General features: G+C 47.6%; 1 protein-coding gene across 1 annotated transcript in view, besides 2 other annotated features; it reads left to right on the forward strand.

Annotated features, from left to right (window-relative positions):
- Positions 1–9,711, forward strand: part of KREMEN1 (kringle containing transmembrane protein 1) — a 95,299-nt gene extending 85,588 nt beyond the window's left edge. The window contains exon 10 of the mRNA NM_032045.5: positions 8,422–9,711. Coding sequence (NP_114434.3) covers positions 8,422–8,484 — 63 coding nt within the window. The 3' untranslated portion in view covers positions 8,485–9,711. The remainder of the gene's footprint in view (positions 1–8,421) is intronic.
- Positions 8,826–9,075: an enhancer, noted in NCBI's record as "active region_18809". NCBI's record gives its function as "activates an Ori minimal core promoter by ATAC-STARR-seq in GM12878 lymphoblastoid cells {active_cell/tissue: GM12878}" and the evidence as "EXISTENCE:reporter gene assay evidence [ECO:0000049][PMID:35858748]".
- Positions 9,086–9,375: an enhancer, noted in NCBI's record as "active region_18810". NCBI's record gives its function as "activates an Ori minimal core promoter by ATAC-STARR-seq in GM12878 lymphoblastoid cells {active_cell/tissue: GM12878}" and the evidence as "EXISTENCE:reporter gene assay evidence [ECO:0000049][PMID:35858748]".

The following is a 20,106-nucleotide window of genomic DNA, read 5'->3' on the forward strand; positions in this document are numbered from 1 at the left end:
CATATTTTTATTTTGCACTGGGCCTCACAAATTACAAAGTCAGTCCTGAGTCCAGAAGGGATCAGTCTTGGTTCCAGATGGCCCCACCTCCAGGGCATGGCTGTGGCTGATGGTTATTTGCCAGCCTAGTGGGAGACCAAGACCACAGGAAATGGGTCTGGAAGATGATCGGCAGTAGTGGTCAGCTCAAGAGTGTTGATTTTTTGTTTTGTTTTTGTTTTTTGAGACGGAGTCTCAGTCTGTTGCCCAGGCTGGCTCACTGCTCAGCTCGCTGCAACCTCCGCCTCCTGGGTTCAAGCGATTCTCCTGCCTCAGCCTCCCAAGTAGCTGGGATTACATGCAGCTGCCACCAAGCTGGGCTAATTTTTGTATTTTTAGTAGAGACAGGGTTTCTCCATGTTGGCCAGAGCTGGTCTCGAACTCCTGACCACAAGTGATCCACCTGCCTTGGCCTCCTAAAGTGCTGGGATTACAGGCATGAGCCACGGTGCCCAGCCAAGTGTTTTTTTTTTTTTTTTTTTTTTTTAGAGACAGGATCTCACTTCGTTGCCCAGGCTGGTCTCGAACTCCTGGGCTCAAGTGATCCTTCCTCCTTGGCCTCCCAAAGTGCTGGGATTTCAGGCATGAGCCACTGCACCCAGCCAGCCCAGGAGTGTTTTGCTCCTTAATGTTCTCAGGTGTAAACATTCAGGAAGCAAAAACAAAACAAAACCAAAGGCCAGGAGCGGTGGCTGATGCCTGTAATCCCAGCTCTTTGGGAGGTTGAGGCGGGTGGATCTTGAGGTCAGGAGTTCGAGACCAGCCTGACCAACATGGTGAAACCCTATCTCTACTAAAAATACAAAAATTAGCCAGGTGTGGTGGCGCACGCCTGTAATCCCAGCTACTCAGGAGGCTGAGGCAGGAGAATTGCATGAACCCAGGAGACGGAGGTTGCAGTGAGCCGAGATCACGTCACTGCACTCCAGCCTGGGCAACAGAGCGAGACTCTGTCTAAAAAATAAAAAACAAAAACAAAAATAAATAAATAAACAAACATTCAGGAAGCACAGGTTTCAGACTCTCCTTGCTAAGGAGCAAGACTGGTCAGAAACAGGTGCTTACTGGTGAGAGATTTTTCACAAACAGAGAACGATGAACTCTGCACGTGACGTGATGTTGAGGATGGCAGATGGGTGGATGAAGTCCGTGCCCATATAGGAAAATGGGGACATCAGATTAAAGCAAGAGGGAGGCTAACCTCAGGGGACTCTACTTATATATATGTAGAAACACTTAAGGAGACCTGGACTTTTTTTTAAAGATAAGGTCTCTTAGCCCCATAATAGTGGAGGACTTCAACACCCCACTGACAGCATTAGACAGATCATCAAGGCAGAAAACTACCAAAGAATTTCTGGACTTAAACTCAGCACTTGACCAATTGGACCTATTAGACATCTATGGAAAACTCCACCCATCAGCCACAGAATATACATTCTTCTCATCCACACATGGAACATATTCCAAGATCAACCACATGCTCAGCCATAGAGCAAGTCTCAATACATTCAAAAAAATCAAAATCATACCAGCCATACTCTTGGACCACAGTAGAATGAAGACGGAAAATACTAAGAAGATTTCGGCTGGGTGTGGTGGCTCACTCCTGTAATCCTAGCACTTCGGGAGGCCAAGGCAGGTGGATCACTTGAGGTCAGGAGTTCGAGACCAGCCTGCCCAACATGGTGAAACCCTGTCTCAACTAAAAATACAAAAAAAAAAAAAATTAGCTAAGCATGGTGGCAGGTGCCTGTAATCCCAGCTACTCGGGAGGCTGAGGCAGGAGAATCACTTGAACCTGGGAGATGGAGGTTGCAGTGAGCCGAGATCATGCCACTGCACTCCAGCCTGGGTGACAGACCGAGACTCCGTCTCAAAAAAAAAAAAAAAAAAAAAAAATTAAGAAGATCTCTCAAAACCATACAATTACATGAAAATTAAATGACTTGCTCCTGAATGATTTTGGGGGTAAACAACAAAATAAAGGCACAAAATCAAAAAAATTCTTTGAAAGAAATGAAAACAGAGATACAAAATACCAAAATCTCTGGGATGCAGCAAAAGCAGTGTTAAGAGGAAAGCTGATGGTGCTCAATGCCTACCTCAAGAAGTTAGACCTCAGATTAACCATCTAATATCGCACATAGAGGAACTAGAAAAACAAGAACAAGCTAACCCAGAAGATAGCAGAAGAAAAGAAATAACTAAAATCAGAGTAGAACTTAATGAAATTGAGACACAAAAATTCATACAAAGAATCAGCAAAACCAAAAGTTGATTATTTGAAAGGATAAACAGGATCAGTAAACCGCTAGCTAGATTAACAAAGAAAGAGAGATCAAATAAGCAAAATCAGAAATAACAAATGTGTCACTTGTAATAAGGGACCCCACAATACAAAAGATCCTCAGAGACTATTATGAACACCTCTGCACACATAAACTAGAAAATCTAGAGGCAATAGATAAATTCCTGGAAACACACCATCTCCCAAGAGTGAATCAGGAAGAAACTGAAAGACTGAACAAATCAATATCATGTTCAGAAATTGAATCAGCACTGGCCAGGCGTGGTGGCTCATGCCTGTGATCCCAGCACTTTGGGGGGCCAAGGTGGGCAGATCATGAGGTCAGGAGATCGAGACCATCCTGGCTAACATGATGAAACCCCGTCTGTACTAAAAATACAAAAAATTAGCCAGGCGTGGTGGCAGGCGCCTGTAGTCCCAACTACTTGGGAGGCTGAGGCAGGAGAATGGCGTGAACCCGGGAGGCAGAGCTTGCAGTGAGCTGAGATTGCGCCACTGCACTCCAGCCTGGGTGACAGAGTGAGACTCCATCTCAAAAAAAAAAAAAAAAAAAAAAAAAGATATTGAATTGGTACTAAAAAACTTACCAGCCAAAAAATGCTTTGGACCAGTTATATTTACAGCCACATTCCACCAGATGTACAAGGAAGAGCTGCTACCAATTCTACTGAAACTATTCCAAAAAATCAGGTAGGAGGAACTCTTCTCTAACTCATTCTATGAAGCCAGCATCACCCTGACCTCAAAACCTGGCAAAGACACAGTGAAAAAAGAAAGCTTCAGGCCAATATCCCTGATGAACATAGACACAACAATCCTCAACAAAATACTAGCAAACTGAATTCAACAGCACATCAAAAAGTTGGCCGGGTGGTGGCTCATGCTGTAATCCCAGCACTTTGGGAGGCTGAGGTGGATAGATCACTAGAGGCCATAAGTTCGAGACCAGCCTGACCAACATGGCGAAACCCCATCTCTACTAAAAATACAAAAAAATTAGCCAGGTATGGTGGTGCATGTCTATAATCCCAGCTCCTCGGGAGGCTGAGGCAGGAGAATCACTTGAACCTGGAGGTGGAGGTTGCAGTGAGCCGAGATTGTGTCACTGCACTCTAGCCTGAATAACAGAGCGAGACTCTACCTCAAAAAAAAAAAAAAGATTAATTCACTATGATCAAGTAGGTTTCATTCCTGTGATGCAAGATTGGTTCAACATGCATGAATCAATAAATGTGATTCACCACATAAACAGAATTACAAACAAAAACCATCATCCCAATAGATGCAGAAAATGCTTTCAATAAACTCCAACATCCTTTCGTGATAAAAACCCTCAAGAAACTAGGCATCGAAGGAATGTACCTCAAAATAATAAGAGCCATCTATGACAAACCCACAGCCAACATCATACTGAATAGGCAAACACTGAAGCATTCCCCCTTGGAACAAGAAAAGCAATGCCGGCCGGGCACAGTGGCTCACACCTATAATCCCAGCACTCTGGGAGGCTGAGGCAAGTGGATGAACTGAGGTCAGGAGTTCAAGACCAGCCTGGCCAACATGGTGAAACCCCGTTTCCACTAAAAATACAGAAAATTAGCTGGGCGTGGTGGCAGATGCCTGTAATCTCAGCTACTCGGGAGGCAGGAGAATTGCTTGAACCCTGGAGGTGGAGGCTGCAGTGAACCGAGATTGTGCCACTGCATTCCAGCCTGGGCAACAAGAGCAAAACTCCGTCACACAAAAAAAAAGAAAAAAAGAAAAAAAAGCAATTCCATTATTGGGTATATATCCAAAAGGAAACAAAGTATTATACCAAAATGACATAGGCACTTGTGTGTGCATTGCGGCACTATTCACAATAGCAAAGACAAGGAATCAACGTAGGTGCCCATCAATGGTGGATTAGATAAAGAAATCATAGTACATATACATTGTGGAATACTACATAATCATAAAAAAGAATTAAATCATGTACTTTGCAGCAATACAGATCCAGCTGGAGGCCATTCACAAGTACATAAAACCATAAACATTGGGTACTGATATGGTTTGGCTCTGTGTCCTCACACAAATCTCATCTCGAATCGTAATCCCTGCTTGCCAAGGAGGGACCTGTAATCCCCACGTGTTGAGGGAGGGAAGGATTACCGGGGCAATTCCCCACCGCCCCGCCGTTCTCGTGATAGTGAGTGAATGTCGCGAGATTTGATGGTTTTAAAAGTGGAATTTTTTCCTGCTCTAGCTCTCACGCTCTCCTGCCATCTCTTGAAGGAGGTGTCTGCTTCTCCTTTTGCCTTCCGCCATGCTTGTAAGTTTCCTGAGGCCTCCCCAGCAAATAATGCGAAACTGTGAGTCAATTAAGCCTCTTTCCTTTATAAATTACCCAGTTTCAGGTATTTCTTTCTTGTTTTGTTTTTTTGAGATGGAGTTTCACTCTCATCGCCCAGGCTGGAGTGCAGTGGCGCGAACTCGGCTCACTGCAATATCCGCCTCCCGGGTTCAAACGATTCTCTTACCTCAGTCTCCCGAATAGCTGGGATTACAGGGGCCACCACCACGCCCAGCTAATTTTTGTATTTTTAGTAGAGACAGGGTTTCATCATGTTGGCCAGGTTGGTCTGGAACTCCTGACCTCAAGTGATCCACCCACCTCAGCCTCCCGAAGTGCTGGGATTACAGGCATGAGCCACCACGCCCGGCCTCAGGCATTTCTTTATAACAGTGTGAGAACAGACTAATACAGGTACTCAGGGACATAAAGATGGCAACAGTAGACACTGGGGACTACTAAGGGGGGAAGGGAGAGAAGGGGTCAAGGGTTGAAAAAACTAACTCTTGGGAACTATGCTCACCACCTGGCTGATGGGATCATTCATATCCCAAACCTCAGCATCACGCAATACACCCACGTAACAAACCTGCGTATGTACGCCCTACATCTAAAATAAAAGTTGAAAAAAAAAACGAGGTCTTGCTATGTTGCCCAGGCTGGAGTGCAGGGCCCATTCACAGATTGAATCATAGCGCACTGCAGCCTCAAACCGCTGGGCTCAAGGGACAAACCGCTGGGCTCAAGGGATCTTCCCACCTCAGCCTCCCGAGTAGCTGGGATTACAGGCGCGCATTGCTGCGCCCAGCTGAGGACCTTACATTTTAAAAAGAACAGTCCAGATGTAAGAGATTTACAAAAGCAGGATATCAATTAACTAGTCCAAAATGGAAACGGCTGTTGACTATGGTGTGGGGGGCCTTCTTGAAGTCAAAGAGGAATCTGGACACACCTGGCAAACTGATGGGACCAGTCCTTTGTTGTATTGGCTGGAACGGTTGAAGGAGAGAAGGAGCCTGGCACAATGATCTCAATCTGGTTACAAAGCATGATTCCAGAGAAGAAGGTTGATTAGTAACAGCGCCTTGCTATCATTTATTGATCTCTTACTGTGCTCCAGGCATTGGACTACACACATGCATTTGTCATCCTTTGCCATGTAACAAACTATCCAAAAATTTACCAGCTTAAAACAAGGAACTGGAGGCCAAGGCAGGCAGATCATGAGGTCAGAAGTTCGAGACCAGCCTGGCCAACACAGTGGAACCCCATCTCTACTAAAAATACAAAAATTAGCTGGGTGTGGTGGCGGGTGCCTGTAATCCCAGCTACTTCGGAGGCTGAGGCAGGAGAATCACTTGAACCCGGGAGGCAGAGGTTGCAGTGAGCCAAGATCGTGCCACTGCACTCCAGCCTGGGCTACAAGAGTGAAACTCCATCTCAAAAAAAAAACAAAAAAAAAAACCCAAAACAAGGAACTATGATTATCCTGAGTTTCTGTGGGTCAGGGATTCAAGAGCAGTTTAGGCCAGGCATGGTGGCTCACACCTGTAATCCCAGCACTTTGGGATCAAGAGGCCAGGAGTTTGGCCAGGCATGGTAGCTCAGGCCTCTAATCCCAGCACTTTGGGAGGCCCAGGCAGGCGGATCACAAAGTCAGGGGTTCTAGACCAGCCTGGCCAATATGGTGAAACCCCGTCCCTACTAAAAATACAAAAATTAGCCGGGCATGGTGGTGCGTGCCTGTGGTCCCAGCTGCTCAGGAGGCTGAGGCAGAGGAGTCGCTTGAACCTGGGAGGTGGAGGTTGCTGTGAGCCGAGGTTGTGCCATTGCACTCCAGCCTGGGCAACGGAGCGAGACTCCATCTCAAAAAAATAAAAATAAAAATAAAGGCCAGGAGTTCAAGACTGGCCAGGGCAACAGAGCAAGACCCTATCTCTACAAAAAATTCAAAAAATAGCCCGATGTGGTAGTGTGTACTTGTAGTCCTCCGGAGGCTGAGACGGGAGATTCCTTGAGCCCAGGAGTTCAAAGGTACAGTGAGCCACGATTGTGCCACTGCACTCCAGCCTGGGTGACAGAGCAAGAGCCTGTCACAAAAAAAAAAAAAAGTAGTTCAGAAATCATACTGTCATTTTCACAACATCCAATTGGTACAGAAGCCAGCCCTATTCAGTATGGGAGGTGACCGTACCAGGGCATGAAGCCAGGAGGTGGGGCTCATTGGCCACACTCTCATCTTGGAGGCTGCCGCCCACCACGTGTTACTTCATGATCCTGTTCAATAATCACAACAGGCTAGTAATAATTTTCCCCCTACTCAAAAGAGGGAATTTTGCTCAAGACCAAACAACTAAGAAGTGGCAGGCCTTGGATTTGAACCCCACTGTCCTTGGCTATGTTGGAGCTCTATGGTATGCAGAGGCAATACAAGCAAGGACTGATAGAAGTGTCCCCCGAACCCCATTCAACGCTGGACTCCAGGCGGCAAGACATTGTGTTTCTCTCCTCCTGCCGGGTCCCTAGGGGGACTTGCATCTTCTCTCAGACTCTCACACAGGTCAAGGGGAGCTTAGGCCCTGGGAGGGCGCCCGTTAGCAGCGGGGAGAGGAAAGAGCTGCCTCTCTCCTGTCACTCCCCATTTTGCCCCAAGATGAGGGCTGCCATTCAGAATGGGTCAGGTTCCAGGACAGTGACTGGGTCAAATTTGCTGGAAGGCAGGGTCACTATCAGAAGACCTATCCCCTCACCACACACACACCATATGTGTGCACACATGCACACACAGGTACAAGCACACAAGTACCCATGCACACATCACCCACATGCACGCCCACCATAACATGCACACACATGCACACACATCCATACACATGCACACTCGCCTCCTAGTCGTCTGCTTCTGAGTGACCAGATGGCTCTTTTTTTTTTTTTTTCCACAAATACTTATTGAGCACCTGCTAGGTGACTGGTATTCTGCTGGATGCAAAGGACACAGGGCATGGAACAGAGAGACATGGTGTCTGCTCGTGTGGAGCCTGTGGTCATGCACCTGCTGGACAGCTGCCTTTCCGGGGGTCACTTCTGCTCCTCACATCTGCTGGGACTCATTGACTTCTTCCACATGGTGTTTGGGCACAGGCATGGGGAGGTCCCCCTAGACCTCGAGCCTAAGCCTCGAACTCTGGCCCACTTTACAAAAGCCCAAATTAAGGAATTGATCATCCACTTAGTAATAGTTTAGAACCTTTAGAGTATGTTACAACCTGCAGAAGTTACAGAAACCCAGCCTCTCTCAACTCTTTTAGTCACAGTGAGATGGAGCTTTCAGAAAATCAAGAGACCAAGATCAGGCCAGGCGCGGTAGCTCACACCTGTAGTCCCAGCACTTTGGGAATCCGAGGTGGAAGGATCACTTGAGCCCAGGAGTTTGAGACCAGCCTGGGCAATATAGTGAGACCCCATCTTTCAAAAAAAAATTAGCCTAATGTGGTGGCACATGCCTGTAATCCCAGCTATTCAGGAAGCTGAGGCAGGAAGATCGCTGGAGTCCAAGAGTTTGAGGCTGCAGTGAGCCATGATCAGACCACCGCACTCCAGGCTGGGTGACAGAGTGAGGCCCTGTCTCAAAAACAAAACAAAAGAGACCAAAATCAGTCAAATGCTTCTAACTGTTCTCTCCCTCCGTGCCTAGGGCTGTACTTTCAGACACCACTCATTGTCCTTCCTACCTTCCCAGGCAATTCAGGACTCGGAAGTGACATCACTCATCTGGTCTCAGGGGCAGCCCAGAAGTATCTGACTGTAGACACAACTAGGCTCCGTGGGCATATCTGGGTGGCAATTTCAGAGGGCAGAGGGGACACCTTCATTGCCTCTCCTCGCACAGAAATGGTGGGCTCTCTCTGGCCCAGCGTGGTGGTTCATGCCTGTAATACCAGCGTTTTGGGAGGCTGAGATGGGAGGATTGCTTGAGCCCAGGAGGTCGAGGCTGCAGTGAGCTATGATCACACCACCACACTCCAGCCTGAGCAGCAGAGCGGGACCTCGTCTCTAAGAATAGAAAGAAAGAAAGAGAAACGGTGTCCTCCGCACAGCCGGTCAGAACTGTGTGACTCACTTGAGGCAGGACCGAGAGTGACATCCAGTTGCACCTTTCTCACCTACTTTGGGACCTTTGGGGGTGAGTTCCCCTTTGTCCTCTCGTGGAAACAGCACACAGCAAGCAACCACAAAACCAGAGCGGAAGGAGGGACTTCCCACCGGCATCCGGCCCCAGTGCCATGTTTTATCATCTGGAACGGTTGTGAAGCTTTGTGTGACTTGCTCAGGATCAGCAGTCACCATGGTCTAATCCCAAGAGGGACTCGTCACCCAGAGACCTCAAAAGGCCCCAGGCCTACTGTGGTTTTTTCTGAGAGGCTCCCAGAACCAAGTGGCACGTTGGTTTCCTGTGCGTCTGTGTCTTTGTGCCTGTATCTCGCTGGGGGACTTCACAGGAAGCAGGATTTGGGCATTCCTGAAGCTCCCAGCTGGACACCACTCCTGAGCGCCACATCCCATGATCACTTCAACCACAGGCCTTTGACTTTGCCACATGGCAAGGCACCCAGCAGAAGATGAGGATGACGGGTGATGCTAGATGGATGTGTACCTGGTGGATGGCCCACGCACGAAGACTCAAGACCCTCAGGACTGGCCATATAATCTGCAAGGTCCAGTATGAAATAAGAATAAGCAGCCCACACAACTGGGCATAGTGGTTCATGCCTGTAATCCCAGCACTTTGGGAGGCTGAGGAGGGTGGATCACTTGAGGCCAGGAATTCGAGACCAGCCTGGCCAACATGGCGAAAACCCATCTCTACTAAAAATACAAAAATTAGTTGGGCATGGTGGCACACACCTGTAATCCCAGCTACTCGGAGGCTGAGGCACAAGAATTGCTTGAACCTGGGAGGCGGAGGTTGCAGTGAGCTGAGATAACGCCACTGCACTCCAGTGTAGGCAACAGAGTGAGACCCTGTCTCAAAAAAAAAAAAAAAAAAGGGCTGGGCACGGTGGCTCACGCCTGTAATCCCAATACTTTGGGAGGCTGAGGCAGGTGGATCACCTGAGGTCAGGAGTTTGAGACCAGCCTGGTCAACATGGTGAAATTCTGTCTCTAATAAAAATACAAAAATTAGCCAGGCATGGTGGCAGACACCTGTAATACCAGCTACTCAGGAGGCTGAGGCAGGAGAATCGCTTGAAACTGGGAAGTGGAGGTTGCAGTGAGTCAAGATCATGCCATTGCACTCCAGCCTGGGCAACAAGAATGAAACTCCATCTCAAAAAAAAAAAGAGAGAATGACAATGAGCAGTCCCCATTGGAAAACTATGAAGAATTTCAAGACAGCAACAGCAGAGCATTAAATGGAGCACAGGGACCCTCTGCCCACAAGGCCCTGGGCAGCAGCCCACAGGTCGCACGTCTGTGTTGCCGCCCCTATGGGTCCCTCCGAAACTATGCCCCAAGGAGTTAAAGACGTCAGGGACTAACAGAAATTCTTGAGTTTGCAGGATAGCAGGTAAGAAAAGAAACAACTTCCTAAAAAGCTGACACTCCCTCCGCTTGTGAGATTTTAGAAACTGGCTGAAATTGGCTGGAACCAAGATGGCCAATGGGAGTCTGTGCAGAGCAGGCTTTCAGACATCAAAGCCTAAATTTCCACCGCGTGTTTCACACTAATGTCTCCTGATTTGCACATGCGACCCATGAGGCATGAAGGATAACTGCGCCTGCCCAAGGACCTCCCTTTCCTTCCACCCCATAAACCTTTTCCAATAAAATTACTGCCTTAAAGCCAGTACAGGGAGGCAGCTTTGAGCTGGACTCCTATCCCCTTGTAAATCAACTTGCAATAAAAGCTTTTCTTTTCTCAAAAACCCAGCGTCGGCCAGGCGCGGTGGCTCATGTTTGTAATCCCAGCACTTTGGGAGGCCAAGGCAGGTGGATCATGAGGTCAGGAGTTTGAAACCAGCCTGGCCAACATGGAGAAACCCTATCTTTACTAAAAATCCAAAAATTAGCTGGGCATGGTAGCGGATGCCTGTAATCCCAGCTACTCGGGAGGCTGAGGCAGGAGAATTGCTTGAACCCAGGAGGTGGAGGTTGCAGTGAGCTGAGATGGCGCCACTGCACTCCAGCCTGGACAACAGAGCAAGACTCCATCTCAAAAAAAAAAAAAAAAACTCAGTGTCATAGCATTGGCTTTTAGCACATGGGGCAGTGAGCCCCTTTTGCTCAGTAATGCCTTCGCCCTGCCACAGCTGGGTAGCCATCCATTCAATTCTGGACAGTGAAACCCATTTGCAGGTCTGCCTGTGACTGGTTCGCATGTCCTATCTAGGCAACCAGTGTCCTGGCTGAGCCAGGTGAGGACTGTTGCTGGCTTGGCTCTCTGAGGGCTCCAGGAAGGCAGGGCTGGGTCTGAACATAATCTCTGGATTCCCCGACCTGGTCCAGTGCTGGGAACACATCAGGGGCCCCATGGCATGGGTTGAGGGTGTTAATTAGTCCGATACTGAGATCTCATAGAGGCCACAGGTGGGCCTGCTCTGGGGCCTTACACAGGGTATGGCAAGGAACACCAGTGGTGAGTGCTGGCCCTGCTGAGACCCAAGCACCCCCAACCTGGACTCCCTGAGCCTCAGGGAAGACTCAAGGGGAGCAGCAGGGTGGACAGGCTGAGCTGGGGAGAAGGGGTGGCTGGGGAGTGTGGAGGGGTCCAGGCCAGAAAGGGAGGCCCCTTGCAGAGGAAAGGTGATGAGGGGTGGAAGGAGAGAGTGTGGTCTGCAGAAACCTCAGAGGTCCTGGCATGGGAGATTTAGAAATGTACATGAGGCCAGGCGCGGTGGCTCACACCTATAATTCCAACACTTTGGGAGGCCAAGGCAGGCGGATCGCTTGAGCCCAGGAGTTTGAGACCAGCCTGGGTAACACAGCAAAACCTCGTCTCTACAAAAAATAAAAAAATCATGCAATGAACCATGATTGTACCACTGTACTCTAGCCTGGGCGACAGAATGAGACCCCATCTCACAGTAATAATAATAATAAATAATTAATTCCCTGGGCATTGTGGTTAATTCGCTGGGCACAGCTGTAGTCTTAGCTACCCAGGAGGCTGAGGCAAGAGGATTGCTCGAGTCCAGTTCCAGGCTGCAGTGAGCTATGATTGTGCCACTGTACATCAGCCTGGGTAACAGAGCAAGACCCTGTCTCTAAAACAAAGAAGAAATGTACATCCAATGTGAGGAGGAAAGCCTTTGGTCATCTGAGGAGAACCAGGGTTGAGCGGGAGTGTTTTGCTAAGCCCAGAAGGGAGGGCACGAGGCCAGCTGCAAAGCCCACCATTATCATTCATGACACTTGTTAAGGATGGTCAGGCTGACTTTATGCAGTGGGGAGCCACTGAGATTGATGGGGTTTTGCAGTTCGGGAGAGATATTGGGATTGATCGCCAAGGAGCAGGGTGGGGGGCACTGGATGGAAAGTGACTAAAACGAAACATCCGAGCGAAGAGGGGTTCCAGCTAAACCCACCTAACAGAATTCCTGCTGAAGACAGGCCAGGGTGCTCAGACAGCACCTAGGGGTGGTGGAGGAAGAGGAACCCAGTCAGACATGGAAGGTGGTCAGATACGGGGGGCTCTGGATAAACTGACTTAGCAGGATTCCTGCTAAAACTGGACAATACAGAGGTGACCACGGAAGTCAAAAGGTCAGGCCTGGTTGAAAAAGAGCCCAGGGGCCAGGCGCAGTGGCTCACGCCTGTAATCCCACCACTTTGGGAGGTTGAGGCAGGTGAATCACTTGAGGACAGGAGTTTCAGACCAGCCTGGCCAACATGGCGAAACCCCGTCTCTACTAAAAATACAAAAATATGCCATGCGTGGTGGTGCACGCCTGTAATCCCATCTACTGGGGAGGCTGAGGCAGGAGAATCACTTGAACCTGGGAGGCAGAGGTTGCAGTGAGCCGAGATTTCACCACTGCACTCCAGCCTGGGTGACAGTGTGAGATACCATCTTAAGGGTAATAAAAGAGTCCGGGGTGGCAGAGTAGAGTTTGGTCAAGGCAAGAATGAGAGAATCCTGGTCACCCGTGGCTGTCTTCCCGCCCCTCCTGAGTGGCTCTGCGGCCTTCTATGGTGCAGTGGCTGTGGGCAGAGTCCCTGATTCTGACCCCTCCACAGCGTCACCCCTGGGCCTCTGGAGCAGGGGTAGATGGGGCTCCTTTTCCCTTTGGGGTTCACCTTCCAGTTGAGGTCCTTGAGGGTTTTGGGGGGGACCTCTCCGTGGATGACCTCCCTCCCCACGTACCTGGAATTCTTATCAATTTGTTCACAACTGTTCCATGCGCCCTCCCCAAGTCTAACCTGGGCCAAGCCTGGAGGGATATTAGGGGCCCAGTAGGGACAAGCCTAGGACACCCGAGTGACTACAGAGGCCCTCAACCCACCCCAGAAATTCAGGGGATGCCCAGGAATGACCCCTGGGCAGGGGACGGGGAGAGGGAGCCGAGGCACAGAACGTGCTCAGGTTCACAGGCCAGAGATGCTGGCTGGTTTGAGGAGCCAAGCAGTGCTCGTCTGCCTGGAGCTTGGGGTGCAAGTGGGGATGTGGCAAGAGATGAGGCTGGAGGGCTCAGCAGCAGCAGGCACGCTGGACGTTTGCCACGAGGGCAATGGGGAGCCACGAGGAGGTGAGGCAGGAGGCAGCCCTGCCAGATTGCCATCGCATTTATTCCCAGAGGTTGTGGCTGGGAAGTGGACTGGGAGGGACAGGGCTGAAGGCTTGAGACCAGCAAGGGAGCTTTGCAGTCACGGAGATGGGAGGTGTCGGTGGCTTGGACCAGGAGTGGAGTTGGGTAGAGAAGGAGTAAGTTTGAGAGGTGTTTTGGAAGGAATGCTGGTGGAATTTCCTATGGTTTGGGTGGGGAGGTGGGTGGTCTGTGAAGGAGAACAAGGGCTTGGGCACCAGGGAAGGGTGGGGCAGACGCGGGTGGTGGTACAGGTTTAGGTGGAAGGTCACAGGTTTGGTTGTGAACATATTGAGTTCACGGACCTGCAACACAGAGGGACCCAAGCAGGATTCGCACTCAGCCCTGCTGCAGACCCAGCTCTTTGGGCTGCTGCCCACACGGCTATAGAACAGCAGAGGCACTCACCTGGCCATGCCCTGTGCTGCCCTCAAGCTGTGACCCGGCCTGGGTTCCCTGGGCATCAAGCAGGGATCTGACCTGGCCATGCTCTGTGCTGCCCTCAAGCTGCGACCTGGCCTGGGTTCCCTGGGCATCAAGCAGGGGAGGCTGTTCAAGAAAATCCCCCAGGCCCACTCACTTTGATAGCCCAGAGCAGCCATTGCTGGGACCTCTCTACACTCAGAGGATTACCAAAGACCCCAAGGAGCTTCTGTGTATGGGGCGCATGACTCCTGATTCTTACCGTATGTAAAAGGCTGAATAATGGCCCTCAAAGGAGATCCACATCCTAATCCCTGAATCTGTGAATCTGTCCCATTATATGGCAAAGGGATTTCCAGATGTGATTAAGAACTTTGAGATGGGGGGATTATCCTGGATTATCTGAATGGGCCCAGCATTAGCACAAGGGTCCTTATGAAAGGGACGCGGGAAGGTCAAGGGCAGAAGGTGGCAATGTGATGATGGATGCAGAAGAAGAGAAGGCCATGTGGCATGGGGCCACGAGCCAAGACATGGGGTTGCCTTGGTATCTGGAAAAAGCAAAGAATGGTTTGTCCCCTGGAGCCTCTAGAAACAGCCCTGCAGATGCCTTGCCTTGATTTTGCCCCACTGAGATCCATTTCAGACTTCTGGCTTTCAGAACGGTAAGAGAATACATCTTGCTTTTTGTTTTGTTTTGTTTTTGTTGTTGTTTATTTGTTTTTTTGGAGATAGAGTCTTCGCTCTGTTGCCCAGGCTGGAGTGCAGTGGCGCGATCTCGGCTCACTGCAAGCTCCGCCTCCCGGGTTCACGCTATTCTGCCTCAGCTTCCCGAGTAGCTGGGACTACAGGCGCCCGCCACCATGCCTGGCTAATTTTTTGTATTTTTTAGTAGAGACTGGGTTTCACCGTGTTAGCCAGGATGGTCTCAATCTCCTGACCTCATGATCTGCCCGCCTTGGCCTCCCGAAGTGCTGGGATTACAGGCGTGAGCCACCACGCCCAGCCATACATCTTGTTTTAAGCCATGAAATCTGTGGTAATTTGTTATAGCAGCAATGGGAAACTAACACGTCATCAGAAATTTAAATAGAGAACTTAAAATCTGGTTTGCTTTAAAAAAAACGGTGCATTTCTTAGCATAAACATTATATTTTTATTAAAAATATATATTTTTAAATATTACTAAAAAGAATAGCTTCTTTTCTGTGTATTTGTTGTTGGTGGTGGTTTTTTTGCAAATCTTTTCAGTGTCTGGCTGTAGAGAAGACAACTGTATTCTCATACCTGTTTCTGCATTCAGTCTGTTGTAATATGTTGTTGTTTTGGTTGCAGTATATGAAGAAACTTCCATCCCACAGATATGGGAGTGGAAAAAAGAGGAGCTATTTTATTTATTTTATTCTATTATTTTTGATAGAAACAGGGTTTCACCATGTTTCCCAGGCTGGTCTCGAACTCCTGTGCTCAAGTGATCCACCTGCCTTGGCCTCCCAAAGAGCTGGGATTACAGGCATGAGCTACCGCACCCAGCTATGGAGGAGGTTTTTAGATAAGCATGGATATTCTTCTTTGATATAAACCAAAATGCAAAAAGTGGTAGTTTTTCAAAGGTTAGTTGCAGTGTAAAATCTGAAACCAGGTCAATGGAGTTTTTGTACTTTGTGACAGTGAAATCCACTGACCTTACACTTTGAATGGATCTTTTACTGGTGTATGATTCTGGATTGGCTGACCCCAAACATTGAAGGAATAAATGGTAGCAATTTTTTTAAGACAGGGTCTCTCTGTATTGTCCAGATTGGACTCAAACTCCTGGGCTCATATGATCCCCACACCTTAGCCTCCCAAGTAGCCAAGAATACCAATTTTACACAAACTTCCAGAAAATTGAACTGGGAGAAACATTTCCTAATTTATTCATTCTATGAGGCCAGTATTTTATTGATACCAAAACCAGACCACAGTATTATAAAAAAACAGAAAAAGGTTTTAAGGTCAGGTGAGTTTAGGAAGCAACAAAATTGTATGTAAAATTTTTTAAAAAAGAACAGAAAACCTAAAATCCAATGTTACTCATGAACATAGAAAAATTCTCAACAAAATTTTGGCAAATTAAATTCAATAGTATATAATAAATTTTCTCAGTATTTGCACATCTGGAAATGTCTTTATTTCACCTTCAGTTTTATTTATTTATTTATTTTTTTGAGACGGAGTGTCACTCTGTCGCCCAGGCTGGAGTGCAGTGGTGCCATCTTGGCTCACTGCAAGCTCTGCCTCCCGTGTTCACGCCTCAGCCTCCGGAGTAGCTGGGACCACAGGCACCTGCCACTACACCCGGCTAATTTTTTGTATTTTTAGTAGAGACAGGGTTTCACCGCATTAGCCAGGATGGTCTCGATCTCCTGACCTTGTGATCCACACACCTTGGCCTCCCAAAGTGCTGGGATTACAGGCGTGAGCCACCTCGCCCAGCCTCACCTTCAGTTTTAAAAGACAGCTTTGCTGGATATACAATTCTTGGTTGATACTTATTTTTCCCGTCAGCACTTTGGCTTCTATCCTTCACTGTTTCTGATGACAAGTCAGCTGTTAGTCTGAGGTGCTGTTCTCTTTGATGAGTCTTTTTTCACTTAATGCTTTGCTTTTTATTTGTTTGTTTGTTTAGAGATGATGTCTTACTGTGTTGCCCAGGCTAAACTGAAACTCCTGGGCTCAAGTTATCCTCCCACCTCAGCCTCTTGAGTAGCTGGGATTATAGCCTCTTTGTTTTTGATCATTTAATCATTTCACTACAATATGTCTGGATATATTTGCATATTTGCAAATTCTGACCTGGAGTCCATTAAACTTCTTGGATATGTGTAGATTGTTTTCCTCAAAATTGGGAAGTTTTCAAGCATTATTTCTTCAAATATTTTTTCTGCTCCTTTCTCTTTCTTCTTCTGATACTCCAATTACATGTATGTTGTTGTGCTTAATGGTTTTCCACATTTCTCTAAGGCTGTGTTCATTTTTCTGCATTTTTTCCGTCTCTCTGCTCTTTCAATTGTGTAATCTCTGTTAATCTCTCCTTACAATTGCTGATTCATTCTTTTGTCCATTCATTCTACTGCTGGATCTCTCTAATGAAGTTTTCATTTTAGTTATTGTATTCCAACTCCAGAATTTTCATTTGGTGCTATTTTATAATTTCTATCTCTTTATTGATAGTCTCTATTTTGACAAGAAATTATTTTCCTTTATTTTCTTAAGCATTCTTTTCTTTAGTTCTCTGAAAATATTTATAACAGTTGCTTTGGAGTCTTGGCTAAGCCTGATATCTGGACCCTCTGAGGGGAAGTTTCTTTCTTTTTTTATTTATTTTTCTTTTTTACTGAATTTGCATACTCTGAAGATTAAAGGTAGTTTCTGTTGCCTGCTTTTCTTTTTCTTATGTCTGGTCACACTTTCCTGCTTTTTTTTTTTCATGTCTCATAAATGGTTGTTAACCACTGGACATTTTAGAGAATATACTGTAGCACTCTAAACACTGAACTCTCACATTCTGGGGCTCTTTTTTGTTTGCTTATTTGTTTAGTGACTTAGCTGGACTATTTTAGCGAAGTCTATTTCTCCTAAGTATGCAGCTTCTGATTTTACTCCTCAGAGAAAGCAGCCTTGGGCATGACCGGGGTCACCCTAGGTGACAGTGGTTTTAGCAGGGGTCTCTTTGTCTCTTTTTATGATTTCTCTGTCAAGCTGTCTGGCTTTGTTGGAATCGTACCCAGCTATTATCCTCCATTGATAACTAATTGCTCTATTGTTTTCAACAGTGCCCTGGGGTAGAAATTGCTCCACATGTGATTCAATTAAATTCAGGCCCTTTTGCAAAGGTACTCTTTGAGGCCAGTCTTTGAGGTTTGTTACAACTCCAGGAGCGTTCTTCTCAGTAGCTACTCTATAGTTTAGTTTGTTAATCTGACAAGCTACTAGCCTCCTCATAATTGCTTGCCACCAAAATTGCTTACCATCAAAATCTCCATTGCTTTTCCCCTTAAGCTGGAACTCCTCCACACTCAGTTCCAAAGGAAGTCAGTTCCCTTAAGATCCCTCTGTTCTTACAGCCTGCCACTTTCTGGGCAAAACCTCTGCACAACTGCTCTGGAGGTAGGGAGAATGGGCCCCCTTCTCAGAGAATAACACACGTGCTTTATGAACAGGCTGCTGGATGGGGCAGTAGCTTCTGATCTTCTTGGCTTGCTACTTATGTTATGGAACCTCTACCCTATGAATGAGCTGGGGCAAATGCAACCAGGCATTTTTTTGGCCTGCTGCACCTAAGGTAGAGCTTCCACCTTACAGAGTGGGGCTGGGTAGAGGAGGAGAACCCCAGAACTCTCAGCCACTCTTGCCTAGAATGGAGTATCTACAACACAGGACGTGGTGGATGAGAAATGCTGATGTCCTGCCCTTCCTAGGGAGATACTCTAGCTCCCCAGCTGAGACTGAGGAGAGGGAGACCTGTGTTCTTGGCTGCATCCACCTGGAGTAGAACATCCATCTCGCTGAGCTGGGGGGACGGGGAAGGGAGAGAATGGGCCATGGCTCAAATGCCACAGGCTCTCACTGTTCTACTGTTCTGAGATTAAATAGATTCTTTTTTCTTCTTCTTTTTTTTTTTTTTTTTTTTTTTTGAGACAGTCTTGCTCTGTTGCCCAGGCTGGAGTGCAGTGGGGTGATCTCGGCTCACTGCCACCTCTGCCTCCTGGGTTCAAGCGATTCTTCTGCCTCAGCCTCCCGAGTAGTTGGGACTACAAGCGCGTGCCACTATGCCCGGCTAATTTTTTTGTATTTTTAATAGAGACCGGGTTTCACCACATTCGCCAGGCTCGTCTCGAACTCCTGACCTCATGATCCGCCTGCCTCAGCCTCCCAAAGTGCTGGAATTACAGGCGTGAGCCACTGCGCCAGGCCGATTTTCTTTTTTTTCTTTCTTTCTTTTTTTTTTTTTTTTTTTGAGATGGAGTCTCACTCTGTTGCCCAGGCTGGAGTGCAATGGCACGATCTCTGCTCACTGCAAGCTCCACCTCCCGGGTTCACACCGTTCTCCTGCCTCAGCCTCCCGAGTAGCTGGGACTACAGGCACCCACTACCACGCCTGGCTAATTTTTTTGTATTTTTAGTAGAGACGGGGTTTCACCATGTTCGCCAGGATGGTCTCAATCTCCTGACCTCATGATCCGCCTGCCTGAGCCTCCCAAAGTGCTGGGATTACAGGTGTGAGCCACTGCGCCCGGCCCCAGCCGATTTTCTTGAATAAATGTTTCATTTGCTGTGTGACCTCAGGACAATTTCCAGAGACTTTAAATGGTTGTTTTTTCATATAATATTTACCAGTTATAGTTATTTCTCTGGGCAGAGGGTAGGTGGAGCTCCTCACACCACTATACCAGAAGTTGTCTCTGAATATGTAATAGTCATTTGCTACATAATGACATTTCCGTCAATGATGGACCACATATACAATAGTGATCCCATAAGATTATAATTCTGGGGCAGGTGCAGTGGCTTATGCCTGTAATCCCAGCACTTTGGGAGGCCAGGGCAGGTGGGTAGCTTGAGCCCAGGAGTTCAAGACCAGCCTGGGCAACATGGCAAAACCCCATCTCTACAAAAAAATTTTTTAAAATTAGCCAGGCATAGTGGCTTGTGCTTGTGGTCCCAGCTACATGGGAGGCTGAGATGAGAGGATGGCTTGAGCCCAGGAGGCGGAGGTTGCAGTGAGCTGAGATCGTGCCACTGCACTCCAGCCTGGGCAACAGAGTAAGATCCTGTCTCAAAAAAAAAAAAATTATAATACTGTATTTTTACTGTACCTTTTCTACGTTTTGATGCACAAATACCACTGTGATACAGTTACCTATGGTATTCAGTACAGTCACATGCTGTACAGATTTGTAGCCTAGGGGAAATAGGCTACACCACATAGCCTAGGTGTGTAGTAGGCTATCTCAGCTAGGTTCGCGTGAGTGCACTCTGTCATGTTCACACAATGATGAAATCAAATCAAATCACATTTCTCAGAACATATCCCCATCGTTAAGTGACTCATGACTATTTATTAATAAATAATACAGTAGTCCCCCTTTATCTGGAGTTTCACTTCTTACGGTTTTGGCTACCCATAGTATAGTAAAAGAAAACAGAGAGAG

Source organism: Homo sapiens, chromosome 22, assembly GCF_000001405.40.
Source record: "Homo sapiens chromosome 22, GRCh38.p14 Primary Assembly".
Taxonomy (NCBI): Eukaryota; Metazoa; Chordata; class Mammalia; order Primates; family Hominidae; genus Homo; species Homo sapiens.